The 25812-nt window shown below is 40.6% G+C and overlaps 1 long non-coding RNA gene across 1 annotated transcript in view; it reads right to left on the bottom strand.

Annotated features, from left to right (window-relative positions):
- Nucleotides 1–7343: 7343 nt before the first annotated feature.
- Nucleotides 7344–25812, bottom strand: part of PWRN4 (Prader-Willi region non-protein coding RNA 4) — a 113008-nt gene continuing 94539 nt past the window's right edge. The window contains exons 5-6 of the long non-coding RNA NR_126392.1: nucleotides 7668–7765; nucleotides 7344–7418 (exon numbers count right to left, since the gene is read on the bottom strand). This is a non-coding gene — a long non-coding RNA (Prader-Willi region non-protein coding RNA 4). The remainder of the gene's footprint in view (nucleotides 7419–7667; nucleotides 7766–25812) is intronic.

The following is a 25812-nucleotide window of genomic DNA, read 5'->3' as shown; positions in this document are numbered from 1 at the left end:
TGTCTGAAAATGGGGCGTCCTGGGATATATGAGGAACAGGCACCTCTCTCTGAAGAAGTGGTTACTGACACTTGAAATGGTCCTGGATAATCAGTAGCATGATTTCAAAGACAAAAATGGATGACAGTCCCTGGAGCTAACTGTGTTTAACTGAAGCAGGTGCACCTGGGTTCGGAATGGTGGCTAGATTATGAAAGCTCTGCTGCTGTTCTTTCCCTACTTGCCCACCCCATCTCCTGAAACCAAGCTAATGTGCTTGTGTCTTTTTGTTGGTTTTTGTTTTGCACCAAAATATTATTTAAAAATTATTTTGAAATCATATTTGACTTACAGAAGGACGTATATATAGTGCAGAGCGTTTCATATACCTTTCAGCTTAAAGGAATGTTAACATGTTATATAACCATAGACTATTCATGAAAACTGAGAAATTGACAGTGATATAAAACTATCAATGGAACTACAGACTTTCTTCATAGTTTTCTTCAGGTTTCCAATAATGTCACTTTTCTATTCCAGTATCTAATCTAGGATACCACATTACATTTAATGCAAGGTGTATTACTTAGCTATTGTTGTATAGCAAATTCCCATACAGCTTAGTGGCTGAAAAGCACATACACATTACTCATAGTTTCTCTTGGTCAGGAATCTAGATGCAGAAGATGGCCAAGGCTGAAGTCTCCCCTGAAGGCTCAGCTGGGGAAGGATCCTCCCCAGGCTCACATGATTGTTGTTAGGATTTAATTCTGGTTCCATGTTAAGATGACTTCACTAGGAAATTATTTCATACTTTTAAAGAATAAATACAAATTCATTATGAATTCTCTAAAAACATTAAACAACAGCAATGACAGTGGTGAACAGATCACTTCCCAATGCACACTATGTGGTATTTCATCCTCATACCACAATTAGACCAAAACACTTCAAGAAAGGAAAATTAAGACCAATATGTCTTATGAATAAAGAGGCAAAAATCCTTAAGGAAATAATAGCAAAACAAGTCAGCAACATGCAAAAAGTATCATACACTATGGCTAAGGGTATTTCCTCAGGAATGCAAATTTTGTTCAGCATACAATTCATGCACTGTGGATGGATTCTGTGACAAGCTGACATCATTGACATCAACAGGCAAGTTAAACTCCTCCCTCACAGTATATGCATAAATAGTTCAAATTAGTCACTGATGTGGTTTGGACTTGTGTTCCTGCCCAAATCTCACGCCATATTGTAATCCCCAATGTTACAGGAGGGGTTTGGGGGGAGGTGATTGGATAATGGGGGAAGATTTCCCCTTGCTGTTCTCATGACAGTAAGTGAATTTTCATGAGATATCATTATTTAAAAGTGTGTAGGACCTCACCCTTCTTTCTCCTCTTCATTCTCAGACCATAAAAGATGTGCCTGCTTTCCCTTCTCCTTCTGCCATGATTGTAAGTATCCTGAGGCCTCCCCAGCCATGTTTCCTCTACAGCCTGCAGAACTATGAGTTAATTAAACCTCTTTGCTTTATAAATTACCCAGTTTCAGGTAGTTCTTTATAGCAATACAAGAACAGGCTAATACAGAAAATTGCTACTGGGAGTGGGGCATTGCTATAAAGATACTTGAAAACGTGGAAGTGACTTTGAAACTGGGTAATGAGCAGAGGTTGGAACAGTCTGGAGGGGTCAGAAAAATACAGGAATATGAGGAGAAGTTGGAACTTTCCAGAGACTGGTTAAATTGTTGTGACCACAATGCTGATAGTGACATGGGCTATGAAGTCCAGGCTGAGGTGGTCTCAGATGGAGATGAGGAACTTACTGGGAACTACAGTAAGGATCACTCTTGTTATGTTAGCACAGAGACTGTTGGCATTGTGCCCTTGCTCTAGGGATCTCTGGAACTTTGAATTGGAGACTGATGATTTAGGGTATCTCGTAGAAGAAATTGCTAAGCACAAAGTGTTCAAGATGTGGCCTGGCTGCTTCTAACAGTGTATTGTCATAGTGTGAGCACAGTGATGCTATGAAACTAAAACTTATATTTAAAAAACAGGCAGAGCATAAAAGTTTAGAAAATTTGCAGTCCAGCCATTTTGTAAAAAAGAAAAACCTGACCAGGTGCTGTGGCTCATGCCTGTAATCCCAGCACTTTGGGAAGCTGAGATGGGTGGATCACAAGGTCAGGAGTTCAAGACCAGCCTGGCCAATATGGTGAAACCTCGTCTCTACTAAAAATACAAAAATTAGCCTGGCATGGTGGCACATGCCTGTAGTCCCAGCTACTCAGGAGGCTGAGGCAGAAGAATTACTTGAACCTGGGAGGTGGAGGTTGCAGTAAGCTGAAATCGCACCACTGCATTGCAGCCTGGGCGACAGAGTGAGACTCCGTCTCAAAAAAAAAAAAAAAAAAAAGAATCCATTTTCTGGGGAGGAATTCAAGCCAGCTGCAGAAATTTGCATAAGAGGAGCCAAATTAGCAGGGCGTGGTGGCTCATGCCTGTAATCCCAGCACTTTGGGAGGCCGAGACAGGCGGATCATGAGGTCAGGAGATTGAGACCATCCTGGCTATCACAGTGAAACTGTGTCTCTACTAAAAAATACAAAAAATTAGCCAGGCTTGGTGGTGGGTGCCTGTAGTCCCAGCTACTCGGGAGGCTGAGGCAGGAGAATGGCGTGAACCCTGGAGGCTGGAGCTTGCAGTGAGCCGAGATCGCACCATTGCACTCCGGCCTGGGCGACAGAGCGAGACTCCGTCTCAAAACAAAAAAAAAAAAAGAGGAACCAAATTTTAATATCCAAGACAATAAGGAAAATGCCTCAAAGCCACTTCAGGAACCTTCCCATCAGCCCCTCCCATAATAGGCACAAAAGCCTAGGAGAAAATAATCATTTCAAGCGCCAAGTCCAAGGCCTTGGTGCCCTGTGCAACCTGGAGCCACTGCTTATCACTGTGCCCCAGCGGCTCTAGCTCCAGCTCTGACTAAAAGGTCCCCAGATACATATCAGGCCACTGCTCCAGGAGGTGCAAGCCATAATCCTTGGCAGTTTCCACTTGGTGTTAAGCCGGAAGGTACACAGAGGGAAAGAGTTGAGGCTTGGGAGCCTCTGCCTAGATTTCAGAGAATGTATGGAAATGCCTTGATGCCCAGGCAGAAGTCTGCTGCAGTGATGGAGCCCTTAGGGAAAACCTGTATTAGGACAGTGCAGAGAAGAAGTACAGAGTTGGAGCCCCCACAAAGCGTCTCCACTGGGGGCCTAGTGGAACTGTGAGAAGAAGGCCACTGTCCTCCAGACCCCAGAGTGGTATATCCACCAACAGCTTGCACTATGTGCCTGGAAAAGCCACAGGCACTCAATGCCAGCCCTTGAGAGCAGCCATGGTAGCTAAGCCCTGCCAAGCCAGAGGGTCAGAGCTGCCCAAGGCCTTGAAAGCTCATCCCTTGCATCAGTGTGGCCTGGATGTGAGATACAGACTCAAAGGAGATCAGTTTGGAGCTTTAAGATTTAATGACTGCCCTGCTGGGTTTCAGACTTGCATGGGGCCTGTTGCCCCTCTGTTCTAGCTGATTTATAACTTTTGGAATGAGGGTATTTACCCAATGCCTGTACCCCCATTGTATATTGAAAGTAATAACTTTGCTTTTGATTTTACAGGCTCATGGGTAGAAGGGACTTGCCTTGTCTCTGATGAGACTTTGGACTGTGGACTTTTGAGTTAATGCTGAAATGAGTTAAGAGTTGGGTGACTATTGAGAAGCAATGATTGTATTTTGCAATATGAGAAAAAACATGTTATTTAGAAGAGGCCAGGGGCAGGATGATATGGTTTAGATTTGTGTCCCCTCCCAATCTCATGGCAAACTGTAATCTCCAATGTTGGAGGAGGGGCCTGGTGGGAGGTGACTGACTCATGGGGGGAGATTCCCCCTTGCTGTTCTGGTGATAGTGAGTTATCACAAAATGTGGTTGTTTAAAAATGTGTGGCACTTCCCTCTTCTATCTATTCCTCCTTCTCTAGCCATGTAAGATGTGCTCACTTCCCCTTTGCCTTCCACCATGATTGTAATTCTCCCCAGTCATGCCTCCTGTACAACCTGTAGAACTGTGGATATATTAAACCACTGTTCCTTATTAACTACGCAGTCTCAGGTAGTTCTTTATAGCAGTGTGGGAACAGACTAATACAATCATACATCTAAATAGCCAAAACTAAAAACAGAAACAAATTGTTTAACAAAAACAATGGTTTCTAAGATATGACAACTAATGCACAAGAGGAAGGAGAAAATAGATATATTGAAAAATCACTAATAAAATATATCATAATTTAAGGTACATAATAAAAGAATAAAAATTTAAAAATGGGAGAAAAGTCTTTGTATGTCAAATAGCCAATAAGAATTTATAATCCAGAATATACTACAACATCTTACAACTCAAAAATCCAAAGACAAATGCTCCAATCAAAAATAGAAAATTTGAACAATCATGTCTCCAAATAAGCTATAGTAATGTTTAATAAGCATATGGAAAGATGCTCAATGCCTCTGTCATTAGGGAAATGTAAATCCCAACCAGAAGATATCCTTTACTAACCCAAAAGGCATATTACTAAGTCCAAAAAGCAATTTGGAAAAAGCAAAATACTTTTTTAAAAAATATATGACACTCTAGAAAAGGCATAAGTATAAAGACAGTAAAGAGTTTATTGGTTACCCGGGTCTCAGCAAAAAGGAAAGACAAATCTGTAAAGATAGAAAATTTCTCTTTGTATATTATTATGTATGCTACTGTAACGTGGATAAAAGGTACAGTTTTTCAACTCCCAGAAAACTTTATAACACAAAGAGTGAAGCTAAAAGTATGTAAATTAACAAAATAACTTATTTAGTAGATAGGAACAGTCCAGGAAGAAATGCAGAGAAAATACTTTATACAAATCTATGAAATAATCCACTGAAGGAAGGGGAAAAATAAGCCTTCCTAAGCAACTTGCATAATAAGTGCAGATTCTGTCTAAAGGCTAAAGGATTTATACATAAGCAGTTGGTATACATAAACAGGTGGTAAGGGTGTTTCTCATGGGGTTGTGTGTTTCTTATTCTGAAACCACTATGCCTGCATTTTCAGGTGGTTAAATATTACAGTGGTAGGCTACATATAGATTAGTGAGATGGGTAGACAGATTCACATGGTGCTGAATAAGATCGTGTGGGACTGAGGACGCTGCAGGAATTCATGTTTAATTTAATGCAGATACATATGGAGACTTGTAGAAATTTGTAAACATATGTGTATATTTACTCTTTGCTCTGTTAGCTAGGAAGGCCTCCAATCAACACGTTCACCAGTAACAATGTGTACAACCAATGAGTGCCCAAATCTTCATTTTAAATTTCATTCTCCAACAAAAAAGGTAGGGATCTGTGAAAAAAAGGTCAATAATTGACTTGAACAGGGACTAAATACAATTAGCCTGGAGTATCTAGTGGTGATCAAACAACAAAATGCTCAACAACAATGCAACCAATGAATCAGCCACATAACAATATTAAATCTTAAATATGGTGGTATTTCAAAATGACAGGAGACTCAATTGAAAGACTTTCTGATGGCATTCAGTCTCATACTGAGTGTTTAAACAAGGTTTTCTCTGGTTTGAGCATTTTGGACTTAGACTATGGTACCCAAAAAGCATCCCAGGATCTCCAGCTTTACATGGCATGTGGTGGAAACGGTCAGCCTCCATAATCCTATGATTCAGTTCCCCTAAAAATCTATCTATCTATCTATCTATCTATCTATCTATCTATCTATCTACCTATCTACCGCTAGCTAGCTAGCTCCTACATATCTATCCTATTGCTTCTGTTGCTCTAGATAACCCTGACTAGTATAGATTTTGGTAGTAAGAACAGTTGTATAGGAAGAGAATTTTAAGGATGAGTGTCCTTAATCAAATTTGGGGTTTCTAGAATTGGCTTTCTAATCTGATTGGACCTAAATTCTAAGAACTGTACTTCTAACAGTAGAAAGAGCAATGACAGTCAATGACATGAACTGTTTTTAGAGATCCCCAAAATGTCTGCATTTGATGCTCTTAATTAAACACTGATAAGAGGCAAGGTACTTGTTTACTCTGTATGTAATACAGACATTTGCATAAAACCATGGAACATAATGATGACGGGTTTGTTGCTTCTAATTTCACTAGGAAATTTGATGAAAGACAATAATGAGCTTAGGGATTCAATTTTGCAGAACCAGCTCCACATACACAGCCTAAGAGTTTCTACCTGTGCTCTGAGCCAGAAAACTCTCTTGTAGCCACAGGGAAGTATTTGCTAAAAGTCAAACACAAGCCCTTATCATGCCACTGGCTGAATTACAAGAAACACTGAACTCCTCAGTCTGGCAGGGTGTCTACTGTTGAAGTGGAAGTTGAGAAAGAATAGCATCCTGTAACTTGGGATGAGGATGGATGGGAAGACTGATGTGGCTGGGGACACTGATCTCCTAAATTCTAATGAGTTTTTATTGCCAGCAGAAGTAGCCTCCTTACAGCCACCCTTGGCAATGGCCTTCTCACACAAAGTGATGTAGGCCTTTCCATATGTGTCTGAGTAGCTTACAGCTACAATGCCTAAGGAAACGGTAATGGCTTCCCCTGAAGCAGCTGTCAAACAATACACTGCTGATTATCTTCAAGACCCACCCCTGACCGCTGTGTTTCTTCTAGACTCATGGTGAGACTAAAGTTACAACATGCCCATGAGGAGGTGTGATATATGTGAAAAAAGCTACCTGAGCTTTCTAACTAATGCAAACAGAAATCTGAAGACCCTATGTGGAAATAAAGATTATGGCTGTGGATAGCTGGGTGTGGTGGCTTGTACCTGTAGTCCCGGCTACACGGGAGGCTGAAGTGGGATGAATGCTGGAACCCAGGTGTTTGAAGCTACAGTGAGTGATGACTGTGCCACTGCACTCCAGCCTGGCCAAAGGAACAAGACCTCATCTGTAAGAAACCAAAACAAGAAAAAAAAAAAAGCGTTGATAACAGTAGAAGGAATATAAACTTGAATCGGTCCAAATTTAATGATATGGGGCCATTAAGCAGATATTCCGGTTTAATGTTGCAGCTTGGGTATTTAAGGATGGTATTAGTAGTTTTATGACAGGTTGGCTGAAGTATAGTTCAACAGATGTATGACCATGAGCAAGTCGGTGATTCCCCCATCTTCCCTGTATTATGTTGGATGAAGGAATTCATAGGCCTAGGGAGATAGGAATGCTAGAATGGATCTGCCGTTTAAAAGCAACTTACAGCAGGGCATGGTGGCTCATGCCTGTAATTCCAGCACTTTTGGAAGCCAAGACAGGTCCATCACTTGAGGTCAGGAGTTTAAGACCAGCCTTCACACCTAGGGTTAAGTGACGAGTTAATGGGTGCAGCACGCCAACATGGCACATGTATACATATGTAACTAACCTGCACGTTGTGCACATATACCCTAAAACTTAAAGTATAATAAAAAAAATTGAAAAAAAAAGAAAAACTCATTCTAAAATTCAAATGGAAAAAAAAAAAAAAAAAGACCAGCCTTGCCAACATGGTGAAACCCCACCTCTACAAAAAACTACAAAAATTAGCCAGACATGGTAGCACACACCTGTTGCCCCAGCTACTCAGGAGGCTGAGGCCGGAGGATGGTTTGAATCCAGGAGGCAGAGTTTGCGGTAAGCTGAAATCATGCCACTGTACTCCAGCCTGGGCAAAAAAAGTGAGACTCTGTTTCTAAATAAATAAAAAAATAAATGCAACTTACCCATATTGATAGACTCCAGAAAACATACTGTTTATCAGGACTTTGTTAGGTAGATTTGTGTGGGGAGGCTGGGTACAACTGAAGAGCTCCCTGATCTCTCTTCTCTGTAGACCAGACCTTAATACAGAAACCACAGTACACCAACTGGAAAATCAAAATGCAAGGGGAATAACCGAGTTTCAGGGAATCTTGGGAGCAAGTAGCAACATTCGATCTTCAAAGGCAAGGTTGGCATAGTTATGTCAATGGACAGCAAAGGCGAAGCAACAATCAGGTTCATCTGATTCCTATAGATTTATGTTGCTGGCTAGTTTATAATAGTGTTCTTGGAATTGAAGTACACAGGTAGCCTACTAAAGGCTTACTTGATTTGAAGAAGCAGAAAATCTTTAGATCAAATGAACAAGATTCTACCTCAAATCCTAAAAACCAGAGACTCAAAGAACCTCACTCAATTCTCACAATTGAGCGAGTTTACAATCTCAGAACCCCTTGAAAGGAGCAGCAGCCCAGTCCTCTTGAAGTAGGACACAAGTACACTACCAAAATGTTATAGTTTATATTTCTGCTATCCTTCCTAAAAGGAACCTACAATCACTTACTAGAGTAATGACAGCAGCAGGAGGTAGACACATCCTTAGGCAGATATGGGCCGCTCCCCGATGAAACCCCACCTTCAAACCAAAGACTGTTTAAAGCCTGAAAGCCAAGCTCCAAGACTCAGATAAATCCACAGACCATATTGGGAAGCTCCTCGTTTGGCACACTTTCCTCTGATTGGTCCCCACCCTTCACCTACTTTACATATACCTACTCTTTCCTAATTTTCTTTTTTTTTTGGCACCATTGCACCCACCTTTGAGTGGTCGCTTATTTTACCATTTTATGCATTCTCACAAACCAATCAGCATGCACTCCCCCATTCTGAGCCCATAAAAGCCCTGGACTCAGCCACACTTGGGGACTACCTGCCTCTGGGTGGGGAGGACCACCTGCCTAATGTATTCTCTCTACTGAGAGCTGTTCCATCACTCAATAAAACTCTTCTCTGCCTTTCTGACACTTTGACTGTCAGTGTAACCTCATTCTCCTTGGACATGAGAACTCAGGAACTGCCAAACAAATGCGAGTACAAAAAAGCTGTAATACTGTGGCCCTCCACACTCTGCCGGTACCCACCAACCACTGCACATGATGGGAAGCTGCAGGAGGGCTGGGCCAGCTCTAGAGTCATGAGTCAGAGTGAGGCAATGGTACTGAACGAGCTGTAGCATGCTATAACACCCACTTTGGGACTTTGGGGTTACTGATGTCTCCGAGTTTTTTGGGTGCCACTGCATTCCCCTCATCCAGATGCCAGTGCCCAAGGTGAAGCAGTTTGTGGCAGGCCCAGCCCAGCTGCAGGCTAAGCATGGATCTCACAGCCAGTGTGGGATCCAGGGCAGAGTGCAAGCTAGGTGCCATCTGGAAGGGTGAGAGGGCAGGGTGCCTCCTGCAGTGAGTCCGAGGTGGAGGGAGGCCTGAGCAGGGGCATCGCCAGCCATGGAAGTCTCCAGCTGGTTTTAAGTGGCACTGAAAATCATCCTTCAGTAACTGTGCTTTAATAAAATAAATTTTGAGGATCACTGGACACTGACTCTGCACTTGACATTGATTCCAGGAGACCCACAGTAACCCTGTAGCCCACTAATTAGAGTACCTTCTTATAGAGGTCAGGTGATTAATGGAGTTTTAGCTCATGTCTGACTCACAGTGGGTCTGGTGGGTCCCTGAAGCCATTCTCTGATAATTTTCCAGTTCCTGATGCATAATCGGAATAGAAACACATAACAGCTGAAAGAATGCCCATATTGGTAGCCTAACCAATGAGAACAATTAGGGTGAGAAAGCACAAATGCAATCCAAGAGAGATGCTTCTATCTAGGAAAATATTAAATCAAAAACATAACTGCATCTTTGGAGGAATTTAAGACATTAGTGCCACCATCACGGACTTGGAAGATGCAAGAATGGTTATTTTCACCACATTCCCATGCAACTCTCCTATTTGGCCTATGCAGAAGATAAATGGATACTAGATAATGACAGTATATTCCCAGAAGCTCAATCAAGTATCAACTAAAATTGAAGTTGTTATACAAAATGTTGTTTCATTGTTCCAGCAAATTAACACATTTCCTGGAACTGGTATGTAGCTACTGATCTAGTGAATGCTTTATCTCTATCTCTGTCCATAAGTTTCAAAAGAAGTTTGTTTTCAGATGCCACAGACAGCACTAAACCTTAACTGTCCTACCTGAGGAGTATATTAACCATCTATCCCATGTCACAAACAGAACACTTCATTAACTTCCCTTCCACAGGTATCACATTGGTCCATTTCATTGATGGGATAATGGTGATTGGACCAAGTGAATGTCAAGTAGCATTTACACTTAGCATACTCATAAAATATTTTTATGTCAGACAATATATTATGACATAATATGTGGGCAATATATTTAACTGAAATTCTGTTAATATATATTGTGGGCAATATATATTATGTGGGCAATATATTTAACTGAATATATATTATGTTAATATATATATTCAGCCCACAGAAATATATTATGTGGGCAATATATTTAAATGAAATTCAGAGGCCTTCTACATTAGTGAAATTTGTAGATATCCAGTGGTGTGGAACATTTTGAGGTATTCCTTCCAAAATAAAGTAAAATTGGTTGCATCTGGTCTCACCAACAACCAAGAAAAAGGCACAAGGCCTAGCGGGCCTATTTGGATTTTGGAGGCAACAATTTTGTCCTTTGGGTGTGTTACTCTGGCCCATCTACCAAACAACTCAAAAAGCTTCTAGGTTTGAGGGGGCCCAGAACACAAGACTTCAGCAGTACAGGCTGCCATGCAAGCAGCTTTTCCACTTAGGCCATATAATCCAGCAGATCCAACAGTACTTGAGGTGTCAGTGGCAGATAGAGATGTTCTTTGGAGTCTTTCTTAGGCTCCCACAGGTAAATCACAGTAGAGGGTCTTCAAATTTTGGAGCAAGGCACTGCCCTTATCCACAGATAAATACCCTCTTTTTCAGGGTCAGTTTGTGTCCTACCACTGGGTTGTAATAAAATAAAATGCATGATTTTGAGCCACCAAGTTCCATGTATCCTGAGCTGCCCATCATGAATGAAGTGTTTCCTGACCCACCTAGCCATAAAGTTGAGTGTGCATGGTAGCACTCTAACAAATGGAAATGGTACATATGTGATTGGTCCAGAACAGGTCCTGAAAACACAAGTTACATGAAGAAATATACAACTGCCTACAATCTCCACTCCTGCCACATTGCCTTCTCTCTCCTAATCTGCACTTATGGCCTCATGAAGAGTTCCCTATAATCAGTTGACAGAGTAAGAGAAGACTGTTCAGATGGTTCTTCAGGATATCCAGACACCACCTGAAAGTAGACAGCTGCAGCACTATCGCCCTTTCTGGGACATCCCTGAAGGACAGTGGGGAAATAAATCTTCTCTATCGACATAAATCAGTCAGTATATCTAGCTGTGCACTTTGCTTGGAAGGAAAAATTATTGTGAGTGTGCTTATATATTGATTCATGGGCTGCGTACAATGATTTGATCAGTCAGAAACTTGGAAATACATGATTGAAACATGCTGACAAAGTAATTTGCAATAGAATCATGTGGATAGCCCTCTCTGAGTGGCAAAAGAAAATGTGAAGACATTTGTGTTCCATATGGATTCCCACCAAAAGACCAACATTGAGTCCCTGATAAGGCACAATTCCCCAGAATAGTCGACCATTAACCCGGTGGTAGGTTGGTTATATTGACCTACTCTGATCATGGAAGGGGCTGGGGTTTGCTTCCTACTGAATAGACCCTTATTCTGATTATGTGTTTTCCTTTTCTGCATGCAGACCTTTTGCCAAAACCCATCCATGGACTTAAAGCCTGCCTTATATACAATGATAGTATTCCATACAGCATTCCTTCTCAACAAAGAACTACACAACCATAAAATTGTTGCAATGATCTTATGCTCATAAATTTCACTGGTTTTTCCATGCACACCATAATCTTGGAGAAACTGGTTGGATAAAATGGTGGAATATGCCTTTGGAAGTCACAGGTATGGTACCTGCTAGGTGAGAACACTATGCAGGTTTGAGTCAAGGTTCATCTGAAGATTGTATATGCTAAAAAATCAGAATGTATTATATAGAAAATTTTATCCCCAAACCATAATTTACAGGTTTAGAAATCACAGGATTAAAAATTAGAGTTGCACCATTCACTATTCCTAACGTAACACTAGCAAAAATTTTACTTTCTGTTCCTGTGATTTTAAGCTATACTGGTCTAGAGGTCTTACAGACAGAGGAATGCTGCTGCTAAGAGATACAGCAATTATTCAACTGAACTAAAAGTTAAGACTGCCACTCAGCCATATTAAGCTCCTTATATTTCTGAGTCAAAAGACTGAGAACACAGTTGCAGTGTGGTCAGGAGTAACTGATCTAGACTACCAGTTTAAAATGGGACTAATACTCCACAACATGGGTAGAAGAGTATTATATGGGAAACAGCGGATCTTGTGACAGTTACTGTGGTTGGAACATTTTCCCTTAACCGAACTCATTTTTAAATTTAATCCCCAATGTGGCAGCATTGAGAGTTGGGGCCTCATAGAGGTGACCATATCATAAGTGCTCTGCCCTTATAAGTGGATACATCTACTAAAGTATTAATGGGTTAAAGGATTAATGGTTTATTATGTGAGGTTAAGTGGTGACTTTGTCGGAGGAAGAGAGGTCTGCACTAGCATTCCAAACCTCCAGCCAGCCGATACCCTGTGTGGCCTCAGGAATCTTCGGAGAGTCTCCACCAACAACAGGCTATTGCCAGATACTGCCCCTTAACCTTGGACCTCTCAGCCTCCATAACCAAAAGAAATAATTTTTAAAAATAAATTACCCAATATTCTGTATTCTGTTTTATAAGCAAAGAACAAAGGTTACTACAGAAATCAGTGATGAGAAGTGTGATCTTGCTGATAATGAATACCATACCTGAAACTGTAAAACTAGTCTTGGAACTAGGTATTAATAGGGCAGAAGTTTGAAGAATTTGGAAAAACAGGCTGGAAAAAGCCTAGGTTCTGGTGAGGGGTTAGAAAACAAGAAAATGGGAAAAGTTTGGGAGTCCTTAGAGACAGGTGAAGTTGTTGTGAACAGACTGTTTACAGAAATATGAAGATTTAAGGCCATTCTGACTAAGTTTCAGATGGAGCTGAGGAATTAGACATTGGAAATTAAGGCCATTCTTAAAATCAACGGGCAAGTAATGTGGCTGTGTCCATGCTCAAGGGCTTTGTGAGAGGCCTATCTTCAGAGTGATGAACTAGGGAACCTGACGGGAGAAATTTCTAAGCTTCGAAGTGTTCAAGCTGTAGCGTGGTTACTCCTAACTGCTTAAGGTAAAACTGCTAGAGAAAAGAAAAACACAAAGAAAAAATCTGAAGCCTGGCCAAGTGAGAATGAAAAAGCCTTTCCAGGAGAATAGTCCAAGGTTGCGGCAGAGCCACAGTGTTCCAGAGACGGGCATGATTTAAAGGGAGCTAGGTGTCAATACTCAAGACAATGGAAGAAAAACCCCACAGGCATTTCAGTAATCTTCTAGGCTGTCCATCCCATCAGAGGCCCAGCAGCATAAGGGGACAGGATTGTTTCTGGGGACAGGTGGTGGCATTGCCATGTGCCACTTTAGGGTGCTGCTCTCTGAATTCCACCTGCTTTGGCTCCCAAGTGGGGCTTGTGCCCCAGCTCTGGAAGATACAAATTGTACTACCTGGAAATGCTTATGAGGTGGTAATTCTGTAGGCTTACAGAAAACAAGAGCTCTGGAGGCTTGGTAGCCTCCACAAATTTAAAAAAAAATTTCAAAAGCCTGGGGTCCCAATCAGAGATTTCTCACAGGGGTAGAGCCCCCAAAGAGAGCCCCCAGTAGAGCAATATTAAGTGGGAATGTAGGTTGGAGCTGCTGCAAAGACTCTCCACAAGAGCATGCCTGGTGAAGCTATAAAAGCAGGGTCAGCACAGAGTCCTCACTAGGATAATGCTTAGTGCTGCTGTGGAGGTGGTACCACCACCAGGACCCCATAACTGCAAAGTCACTCACAGCATTGACCACTTGCTTGGAAAAGCTTCAGGCACCTGACTGCAACCAGTACAAGCAGCCCTATGGCTCCCAGAATAGTCTGTTTTTCTCCTTTTCAAACAGAGATATTTCAGGAGATCTTTCTGAAAAATGCTAAAACAGAATGTATCACACCTGACATTTATTCAAAACGTGATATTGGAATTCAATTTAGGGCAGAGAATGTGTGAACAGATTACAATAATTGAAATGGTTATTTGAAAAACAATTATGGGCTAGCTGCAGTGGCTCACGTTGGTAATCCCAGTACTCCGAGAGGTTGAGGCAGGAAAATCACTTGAGCTCAGGAGTTTGAGACCAGCCTAGGCAACATGGCAAAATCCTGTCTCTACAAAAAAAGTGAAAAATTAGCCAGGCATGGTGGCATGCATCTGCAGTGCCAGCCACTCATGTGGCAGAGGCAAGAAGATTGCTTGAACCTGGGAGGTCAAGACTGCTGCGAGCTGTGATCATGCCACTGCACTCCAATGTGGGTGATAGAGTAAGACCGTATCTCAAAAAAGAGAAGGAGAAGAGGAAGGGGAAGAGGAGGAGGAAGAGGAGGAGGAGGAGGAGGAGGAGGAGGAGGAAGAGGAAGAAGAAGAAGAGTAAGAAGAAGAAGAAGAGGAAGAAGAAGAAGAAAGGAACAATTACGAATGCATTTGAAAAAAAAAGAATGTCTTATTGCACAACACAAAAATAAAATTTTCTCTATACGTGATGATTATGTGACCACAGAGGAAATTTAACCTAAATGCATTTGCAGACAAAAACAGGAAATAGTATTACAGTGCAAGAATAGTCAGTGAATTGGAAAAGATATTTTTTTCAAAAATGTTCTAGAAAATTGAATATCCTTTAAGAGGAATTAAAACCTGAAATGTGACCTCACATTAAATGCAAAATATATTCCAAGTGGATCATAGACCAAAATAAAAAATATTTAATCCAATATATACAACACAATTTAGGGAAATATTTTCATGAGCATGGAGCAGGGTAAGATTCCTAAAACTAAACTTAGAAAGTATTTACCATATAAGAGAAAACACATTGGAATACAGTTCATGAGAGCTAAGTCTCTGGAGACAGATTGTGTCAAACTGAGATTCTCCTAATTCTTTCCTTCAGAGTTTTTGGATCACATTCAAAATTGGACTATGGAAATGGTAATAGCACCTACTTCCTCGTGTTGGCTGGATTGTATGAACTAACAGTATTTAAAATATATAGTGTACACTAACAAGTATTAAAACTTTTTCTAGTAAATTGCGAGATGTATTACTGCATCAATTGTAACATGTATCACTTGTTTATATATAAGAATGGAAGAATAAAACCACAACCAAATGATGAAACAAATACATTTCACATAATATATTAGAAATTTTAGGGACCGGGCGTGGCGGCTCACACCCATAATCCTAGCACTTTGGGAGGCTGAGGCAGGTGGATCATGAGTCAGGAGTATGAGACCATCCTGGCCAACATGCTGAAACCCCGTCTCTACTAAAATACAAAAATTAGCTGGGTGTGGTGGTGCACACCTGTAATCCCAGCTACTTGAGAGGCAGAGGCAGGAGAATTGCTTGAACCTGGGGGACAGAGATTGTGGTGAGCCAAGATCACACCACTGCACTCCACTCCAGCCTGGCAGCAAAGTGAGACTCCGCCAAAAAAAAAAAAAAAAAGAAAGAAAAAGAAAAAAGAAAAAAAAAGAAATTTTAAGTGATTTTTGAATTGCATAAAAATTTTACATTGTAATTGATTTTAAAGTCTTTTCCACTTAGATCCAAGTCTTTAGAATAATTTTTACTTCACTAGCCCATGATTGATTATTCATCATCTGTGCTAATCTGAAGCAATGGTGATTCTGCATTTCTTGTGAGAGTCCTGAACTACTCTTTGTGAGATTCTCTCTCCAAACACTTCTGTGAATTACAACAGTGATGATATTATCCAAAGATATCAAAGGAAGATTCTTAGACCAGTTTCATGTATGTGTACACGAGGACAGTGACATTAAAACTGCCTTCTGGCCAACAGTGTTCTGACACTATCAAATTTAAAATGCTGCATCTGTATGTGAAATGTGAAAATGTGCACTCTCAGATGAATGGAACACAGCATTTCTGTTAATGCCCATTTCTCATTGTTAAGTAAGGGTGGCACATCTGTGTATTCTGGCCTGTTATTGAGAAAACGTGCCTAGAAACATTTTCACAGAAATTGACCACCTCTGTGTCTTCCCAGCTATTAAACACATGAGAGCTTCTGCTGGGGTTTTGGAATTCCTATTTTCTATGTGGAGAAGTTGTTATATAAACTATGATTCATGAAATCCATTGAGAAGCAAAATAGAAATTTTAAATAGGTATTTGAAAATGCAAATTTGGTTAAATACACAAAAAAAGTTAGTGCCATGCAATATATTAAGAGAAAGAAAAAAAAAATGATCAAGATTTGTAGTACTGAGAGGTGACAATGTGCTAGCAGCCCTCGCTTGCTCTGGGTGCTGCCTGGGGCTCTGCGTCCACTCTGGCTGCACTTGAGGAGCCCTTCAGGCCGCTGCTGCACTGTGGGAGCCCCTCTCTGGGCTGGCCGACACTGGAGCCGGCTCCCTCTGCTTGCGGGGAGGTGTGGAGGGAGAACCACAGGCGGGAACCTGGGCTGTGCATGGTGCTGGCGGGCCAGTGCGAGTTCTGGGTGGGCGGGGGCTCAGCAGGCTCCGCGCTCCCAGCAGCAAGCTAGTGCCGACGGCACTGCCCTGGGCAGTGAGGTGCTTAGCATCTGGGCCAGCAGCTGCAGAGGGTGCGCCAGGTCCCCCAGCACTGCCAGCCTGCCCACATCGAGCTCGGATTCTTGCCAGGCCTCAGCTGCCTCCCCACGGGGCAGGGCTCGGGACCCGCAGCCTGTCATGCCCGAGCCCCGCAACTGGTGGGCTCCCGCCAAGCCTCCCTGATGGGTGAAGGCTCCTGCTCCATGACATCCGGTCCCATCGACCACCCAAGGGCTGAGGAGTGTGAGCGTGCAGTGCAGGACTGGCGGGCAGCTCCGCCCTTGGCCCCAGGCGTGGGATCCACTAGGCAAAGCCAGCTGGGCTCCTGAGTTGGGTGGGGACTTAGAGAACTTTTATGTCTAGCTAAAGGGTTGTAAATGCACCAATCGGCACTCTGTGTCTAGCTAAAGGTTTGTAAATGCACCAATCAGTGCTCTGTGTCTAGCTAATCTAGTGGGGACTTGGAGAACTTGTGTCTACCTAAAAGATTGTAAATGCACCAATTAGCTCTGTGTCTAGCTCAAGGTTTGTAAAGGCACCAGTCAGTGCTCTGTGTCTAGTTAATCTATTGGGGACTTGGAAAACTTCTGTGTCTACCTAAAGGATTGTAAATGCACCAATCAGCACTCTGTGTCTGGCTCAAGGTTTGTAAACGCACCAATCAACACCCTGTGAAAACGGACCAATCAGCTCTCTGTACAATGGGCCAATCAGCTCTCTGTAAAATGGGCCAATCAGCTGTCTGTAAAATGGACCAATCAGCAGGATGTGGGTGGAGTCAAGGGAATAAAAGCAGGCTGCCCAAAGCAGCAATGGCAACCCACTTGGGTCCGCTTGCATGGTGTGGAAGCTTTGTTCTTCGCAATGAATCTTGCCGCTGCTCACTCTGGGTCCACGCTGCCTTTATGAGCTGTTAAGACTTACCACAAAGGTCTGCAGCTTCACTCCTGAAGCCAACGAGACCACGAACCCACCAGGAGGAATGAACAACTCTGGCCGCGCTGCCTTTAAGAGCTGTAACACTCACCGTGAGGGTCTGCTGCTTCATTCTTGAAGTCAGCGAAACCAAGAACCCACCAATTCCCGACACAGCACTAGTATAAAAATAGGTATATGTAGGAAACAAATGGCTAAAAAAAATTTTAAAAAGGAATAAAGTAACAATAAAAAAGGATAGGTATATAGATCAATGGAATAAAGCTGAATGTCTAAAAATTACAACTTTATGATCTCATGATTTTATAAGAATGTCAATTTAATGCAATATGGAAACTTTTTGATCAAGTGTTGTTGGGTCAAGGGGATCTCTATGAGTTGAACTATTTAATCTGACACACATACATGTATATTAATGACTCAAATTATGATTAACTTAAATACAAGAAATAAATAGGCTTAACCCATAGAAAGTCACATAGGAATACATGCAGCTTCAGGTTAAACAATGGTTTCTATGATATGAATGCACACGCACCAGAAACTGAAGAAAAAATAGATACATTAAAATTTTTCTGAATTAAACAGTTTTGTGACTCAAAGTATACCATTAAGTAAAAAGACTCACAAAATATTGAAGAAAATCATTGCAAGCCATGTAGCTAATTAAGCTTCTCCTATGCAGAATATATAAAAGCATCTTAACAACTCAAAAATCAAAAGGCACATATCCCAATCAAAAAAGGTAAACTATTTGAATAGTTATTTCTCTAAAGAAGTGATTGTCATGTACAATACGCACATCAAAAGATGCTCAATGCTTTTTCTCATAAAAAAATGCAAATCGCACCTGTAATCCCAGCTACTCAGGAGGCTGAGGCAGGAGAATCGCTTGAACCCGGGAGGTGGAAGTTGCAATGAGCCAAGATTGTGTCATTGCACTCCAGCCTGGAAGACAGAGTGAGACTCTGTCTCAGGGGGAAAAAAAAGCATTTCAAAACAACTAAGAGATATACTTCACAAACTTAGAAGTCATATTGATATGTAATTACTTTTTAAAGTCTTTTCAACTTATATTCATGTGGCTATTTATCTTGTGATAAATCTGACATCATATTCTGGGAAAGGCAAACATGTAGAGATAGTAAAGCAGTAAAGTTTAGTGGTTACAATGGCATCAGGAGAGGAAATGCCAGTAAATCTTAAGTACAGAGGATTTGTTTTGGGCAGTAAAATTATTCTGTATGATACTGTAAGTGCGGATACATAACACTGATTTTCAAATTCTAACTTACATTATTACTAAGAATGAGCATAAAAGTATGCAAATTAAAAACCTTATTCAGTAGGTAGGGGTATCCCAGGAGGAAATGCAGGCAAAAATTAAATACAACTATATAATAACTATAAGACATAACTTCATTGAATGGAGTGGGGAATGAGGGACTGACCTATGAAACAGGAAATAAATGGAGATGCTGAGTCTTAAAGGTTTTGTACATAAGCACTGCACTTTAATTGGCAAAATTCTTTCTCATGGGAACATTACCAATTCTAAACTCACTATATATGTACATATGCATGGGCATTCCTAATTCAAAAATCAAAATTTCAACATTTAAAATGCCATTCAGCAGAATGCCTCCTCATCCATATGGGATGTGCTTCCTGGTTCCTCAACTGTTTGATTTTTCTTCTCACCTATTAAAATAAAATATGATGTATAGTAAGCTTTAAATCAAAACATAACATCACAGGAGGAGGCAGAAAACATGCCATCATTTGTTATTTATGGTAAAGGTACAGTCATGCATTGCTCAATGAATGAGAGTTCTGAGAAATGGGTTAGGTGGCTTCATCATATGTGAACATCCTAGTGTACACATAGAAACCTGGAGAGTATATAGCCTATTGCCCTTAAGCTACAAATCTGTATAACATATTATTATACTAAATACTGCACACAATTGTAACACAATCGTACCTGTTATTCTAAACACACCTCAACACAGAAAAGATACAGTGAAAATGTGGTATAAAAGATAAAAAATTGGTCACCTGTCTAGGGCACTTATCATGAACGGAGCTTGCAGGACTGGAAGTTTCACTGGGTGAGTCAATGAGGAAGTGGTGAGTGAATGTGAAGGCTAGGATATTACTGTACATGAATGTAGACTTCATAAACAGTGTATACTGAGACTAAAATAAAATTATAAAAATATTTCCCTATATTCAGTTATAAAAATGTATCTTAGTGTAGCTGTTTAACTTTAAAACTTGGTTTTTTAACATTTTGACTGTTTTGTAATAACACATTGTACAGATGTAAAAAAATTTCTTTATATTCATATTTGATGAGTTTTTTTCTACTTTAAATTCTCTTAATTTTAAATTTCCAACATTTTGCTAAAACCTCAGAATAGCTTAGGCCTACATATGGTAGGGACCATCAATATCACTATCTTCTACCTTCCTTTACTGGAAGGTCTTCAGTGGAAAAATACAGCCATGGATCTGTCCTCTTCTACAACAATACCTTCTTCTGGTTACCTCCTGAACTACTTATCTGAGCTTGTTTTACAATTAACTTTTTTTTAATTAGTAGAAGGAGTTCATTCTAAAATAATATAGTATTGTAAAAACATAAACCAGTAACATAGTTTGTTACTATTATCAAGTATTATGTACTGTACATAATTGTATGTGCTATACTTTTACACAACTGGCAGCACAGAAGGTTGTTTTTCTTATCAAAACACCAGGGGTTCAATCTAGGTCCTTTTGCTCACCACACAGAAAGTTAATTACTGAGACAAATTTTGCCAGGGAAGAAGCCTTTATATTCAGGTGACATCACCTAGAGAGATGGGAGATAAGCCTCAAATCCATCTCTTCCAACCAACTAAAATTGAGGGTTTATGTAGTTCAGAAGGAAGGTAGCCACCAGCAAGAAAACAGGCATTAGAAGGGGTAAGGAAGCCGTAATGACAATGAGGAATCTAGCATCTCATTGTCTAGATGCAGTGAACTGGTCAGTTTCAGTTCCTTGCCTGAGGGTCAGTTTCCTGAAGAAGAAGTTCAGATAAGACAGATAAAAGTTTCAAGTTTTAAGACCAGTGTGGGTCAATATTTATGTTTATTCAAAAAAATTATATTTGTCCCATGGAACAGTTGGGCTGGCTTCATTTTCGCAACACCACAATAAACAAACACATGAGTAATGCTTTGTACATAGCTAGAAGATAGAAAATTTTCAGCTCCATCATATTCTCATGAGACCTCTACCATATCTGCAGCCCACCTTTGTCTGAAATGTCATTAGGGGGCATGTGACTTTATACTAGGGATGCTACTCTGTTGCTTAGTTACCCTGAACATGCAACTATTTCACTGTATTAAAGGAATATCATTCTTTATAATGTTAAGCACTTATGTATAAATAAGTGTAAGAAAATAATTGCTTATCAGTAACATAAATTCAGAGTCAAGGACCATGGTGATGCTAAACAACCAAAGATTGTCTGCATGGGAGGCCTCTTAAGATAGTGACACCTCTGCTTTCTGATGGCTCAATATATGTAAGCTTTGTTTCATGCACAGTTATTAAAATATTGTGTAAAATTACCGAGACTACGTGTATAAGTCATATTTAAAATATAAATGCCTATTCCATTTCCACTGCTTCATTTGACTAGACTTTTAAAAGATATTTAAATATTAATGAAACAAAATATAAATGAATCCATGTATGGACTTGTGTCCCATCCATAAAATATCTCATCATGTATATAAAAATATTCCAAAATCCCAAAAAATCAAAAATCTTAAACATTTATGGTCCCAAGCATTTTGAATAAATAATACTCAACCTGTATTTTCAAGTGGTATTGTTAGAGTAGATAGTTAGCAGACATGAGCAGTGCAGAAGTGAGTTCCCCCTCCACCAGGAATGTCAGGCAACCATCAGATGATGGTCAGGCGATTGTTAAACTGTCTCTCTAAATAATAATTGGTGGCAACTGGCACTGGGGGAGCAGTCTCCCCATAGATAGAAAACACCTGAAGCTGGTGATCAGCCGTTTCCCCGTAAGATCTCAGCATGTGGGAAAGTGGACTCAACCATGTGCATTAAGAGGCAAAATGGCAGTGTTTGGTGTATGATCTTCCTCTAGGAACCATTGACTGGTAAGGGAAAAATGCCTCAAGTGAGCATGTGCACATCTTTAGTAAACACACTGCGCACGCAGCCCCTCCCATGTGCTGGCAGGCCACTGCATATGTGCACAGCCCACCCCATGGGAAGAATCAGAAGAGAAGAGATGCAACACCCTGGAAGCCTGTTAATGTATAAAACCTCAAGTAAAAGGTCAAACCAGGCACTTGGATCTCTCAAATCACCCACTTGGCCCTCTTCCAAGTGTACTTAACTTCGTTTCACTCCTACTCTAAAACTTTTTAATAAACTTTCATCCAGTTCTAAAACTTGCCTTTGTCTCTCACTCTGCTTCATGCCCCTAGGACAAATTATTTCCTCTGAGGAGGCAAGAACCAAGTTGCTGCAGACCTGTATAAATGTGCCACTGCTAACAGCATAATTAAATTAACAGAACCAACTAGCTCATTATTAGAGCAGTAGGCTATATACAAGTAAGTGGTAAAGAATAGATAGATTAATGTGGTACTAAATAAGATCCTGTGTAGCAGGAAACATTAGTAAAAATTCCTGTTTAATTTAATATGGATACATATTGACACATGTTGATATATATTGTGTCAGTATACAAAGAATGCACAGATATATCTGTTTGCACTTTCTGTTAACAAAGCATCAAATCAATAGATTTCAAAGTCACAATGTATACACCCAGTGCCTGGATCTTCATTCCTTTCCTCCTCCTTCTTTTTTTTTTTTGAAACAGAGTCTGCCTCTGTTGCCTAGGCTGGAGTACAGTGGCACGATTTCAGCTCACTGCAACTTCTGCCTTCCGGGTTCAAGCAATTCTCCTGCCTCAGCCTCCAGAGTAGCTGGGATTAAAGGGATGTGCCACCACTCCCAGCTAATTTTTGTATTTTTAGTAGAGACAGGTTTTTGCCATGCTGACCAGGCTGGTCTCAAACTCCTGGCCTCAAGGGATCCACCCACCTCGGCCTCCCAAAATGATGGGATTACGGATGGAAGCCACTGCACCTGGTCCATTACTAATTCCATTCTCTAACTTAAAAAAATCTAGAACTTTGTGAACAAATGATTAATACAAGGCTTAAATAGGGAATAAGCACAATTAGCCTGGTGCACCCAGTAGTCCCAAAATAATAGAAAATGCTAAACAACAAAACAACCAACCAACCACACATAAAATTGCAGACACAGGTATTGGAAATTAATAGAGTATCCAACTGAAAAAATTTCCAGTGACATTCGGCCTGATTCCATCATTACACCAAGCCCTTCCATGGTTCTGAGGATTGCAGTCTTGCACTTAGGTGCACTATCAGCATCCCTGCATTTCCTGCTTCTAGAGAGCCTTTTGTGAAAGATCTCAGCCTCCATATTTATGCGATCAAATACCATAAAGTAAATCTCTATGTATCTACCTACCTACCTACCTATTCTATTGCTTCTGTTTGGAGAACATTAACTAATACAGATATTGGTAATAAAAATGGTTCTAGAGAAACGACATTTTTAAAATGACCATCCCTAATTGGTGTGAGGGTTTCTAGAATTGGCTCTCAATCTGATTACACCTAAAATTCTAACAATGCTACTTTTTTTTTTTTTTTTTTTTTTGAGACAGAGTCTTGCTCTGTCACCCAGGCTGGAGTGCAATGGCACGATCTTGGCTCACTGCAACCTCTGCCTCCCTGGTTCAAGCCATTCTCCTGCCTCAGCCTCCCAAGTAGCTGGGATTACAGGAACCTGCCATCATGCCCAGCTACTGTTTGTATTTTTGTAGAGACAGGGTTTCACCATGTTGGCCAGGCTGGTCTTGAACTCCTGACCTCAGGTGATCCACCTGCCTTGGCCTCCCAAAGTGCTGGGATTACAGGCATGAGCCATCACGCCTGGCCACAATGCTACTTCTAATAGAAAAAGAACACTGATAGTCCATGGCACGAACTGTTCATAGAGACATGCAAAGTATCTGCATTTCTCACTCCTAATCAGTTTCTTTAGCTGATTGGCTGAAGTAAGGTAAGAGGCAAGGAATTTGGTGATCTTTGAGCATTTGTGAAAAACCAAGGAAGATAATGTCATTGTGTGTTTGCTTCTCATGTGCCTTGGCAAAGAGATAAAATGACAGGAAGTGACTAGATATTCAAATTTCCAGAATCTTCTCTGCATAAATAGCCTAATAGCTTTTAATTGTGCTCTGAGTCAGATTCTTCCCTTCTCTAGTCAATGGGGCTGAAATTGCTAAAAGTCAAACAGAAGCTCTCATCATGAAAGTGGCAAAATTACAAAGAAAGTTTAACTCTCAGTCTGGCAAGGTGTCTAAAGTTTAAGTGAGAGCAATGGTTAGGAAATAATGGGATTCTGTAAAACGGGGAGAGGATAGTTGGGAAGACACTGATGATGCGGGAACATTGAACTCCTAAATTCTAATGAATTTTGTTTGCCACCAGCAGTGAACTTTTTAACCCTACCCACAGTGGAAGCAGCTTTCCCACGTACAATGATGTAAGCCTTGTATCCCCTGTCTGAAAGGATTAAATATTTATTTACCTATGGAAATGATAATGGACTCACCTGAGGCAGTTGCCAAGCAAGACAATGGTGATTTTCATTAGGACTGACCACTGACAGCACTGTTTCTATAATAGAACTATATCTAGGTGCAAGTTTCAGTGGGATCTTAAATATGAGGTACAAATTGTTACTTATGAGGATGTGCACTACATTTAAAAAAAAACCTACTTGAATTTTTTTTAAAAAAATATGTATCAACTAAAACCTTCAGAAAGTCTGTGGAAATGGATCTTAAATGGCAGCAAGGTTGTGGGATAGTGGAAGGAAAATAGCGTTGGATCAAGTTGAATTAATTAACATGGCCCATTAATGTTCCCGTTTGGGGAGTCACGAAAGGTTCTAATAGTTTTTTTAGCTGATCAGCTGAAGTAAGGATAAAAAAATGGCCGACCATGAGCAAGTTGTGCCATCTATCTTGGTTTACCACAGAGGAAGGTATGCAAAGGCTTAGAGACAGATTAATGTTAGAGTGAATTTGTTATTAAAACCTATTCATTCACATTGGAAGGGTCCAGAAGACCTATCATTTACCAATACTGTGAGAAATAGATTCGTGATGGGATCCCCAGCATCCCTGAAGAGCTCTGTGGATGCTTTTCTCTGTAGGACAGATCTTACACTGAGAACCAAAATCAGTCCAATGAAAAGTTTAAATGCAATGAGAATAAGTGGATCCAGGGGTGGCAGGAACCAAGCAGTGGTCCTCAACTATCAAAAGCAAGGGGGCATTGTTATGGTAATGGAGAGCAAAGGCAAAGCAACAATAAGAACCATCTGACTCCTACAGATCTATGGACTTAACCAGTTATCCACAGTTTTCCTAGAAGTGAAACAGGTAAGAAGCTGACTAAATCCTTATTTGATCTCTCTAAGCAAAACACATGTTCGTGTCCATGAACACAACTCTAACTCAAATGATAAAAAAGAAAAAAAAAGAATTATAGACCCACAGTCAATTCCTAGACTTGAGCCAATTTACAGTCTCAGAAGCTTTCCTTGAAGGGGAGGCAGAGATCCTCCAATAAAGACAGAGGTACACTACCAAAACTATACATTAATCTTCCTCCCACACTTTCCTAAAAAGACTTACCACTTTTTATTAAGGCAATTGTTTACTGACAAAAAGGAAATAATCACATCATTTAGGGATGTCTGGACACTTGCTGTGAATGGACATTGATTCCAGGTGACCTGAAACATCAATGTTCCCTTCCAGATAGAATTGGCGCTAATGGAGGTCAGGTGGTCAATGATGTTTTAGCTCATGTCCTAGTCACAGTGTGTCCATTTGGTCCCGAAACCCATCCT

This window comes from Homo sapiens, chromosome 15 (genome assembly GCF_000001405.40).
Source record: "Homo sapiens chromosome 15, GRCh38.p14 Primary Assembly".
Taxonomy (NCBI): Eukaryota; Metazoa; Chordata; class Mammalia; order Primates; family Hominidae; genus Homo; species Homo sapiens.
This window is presented reverse-complemented; position numbering and strand designations above follow the sequence as displayed.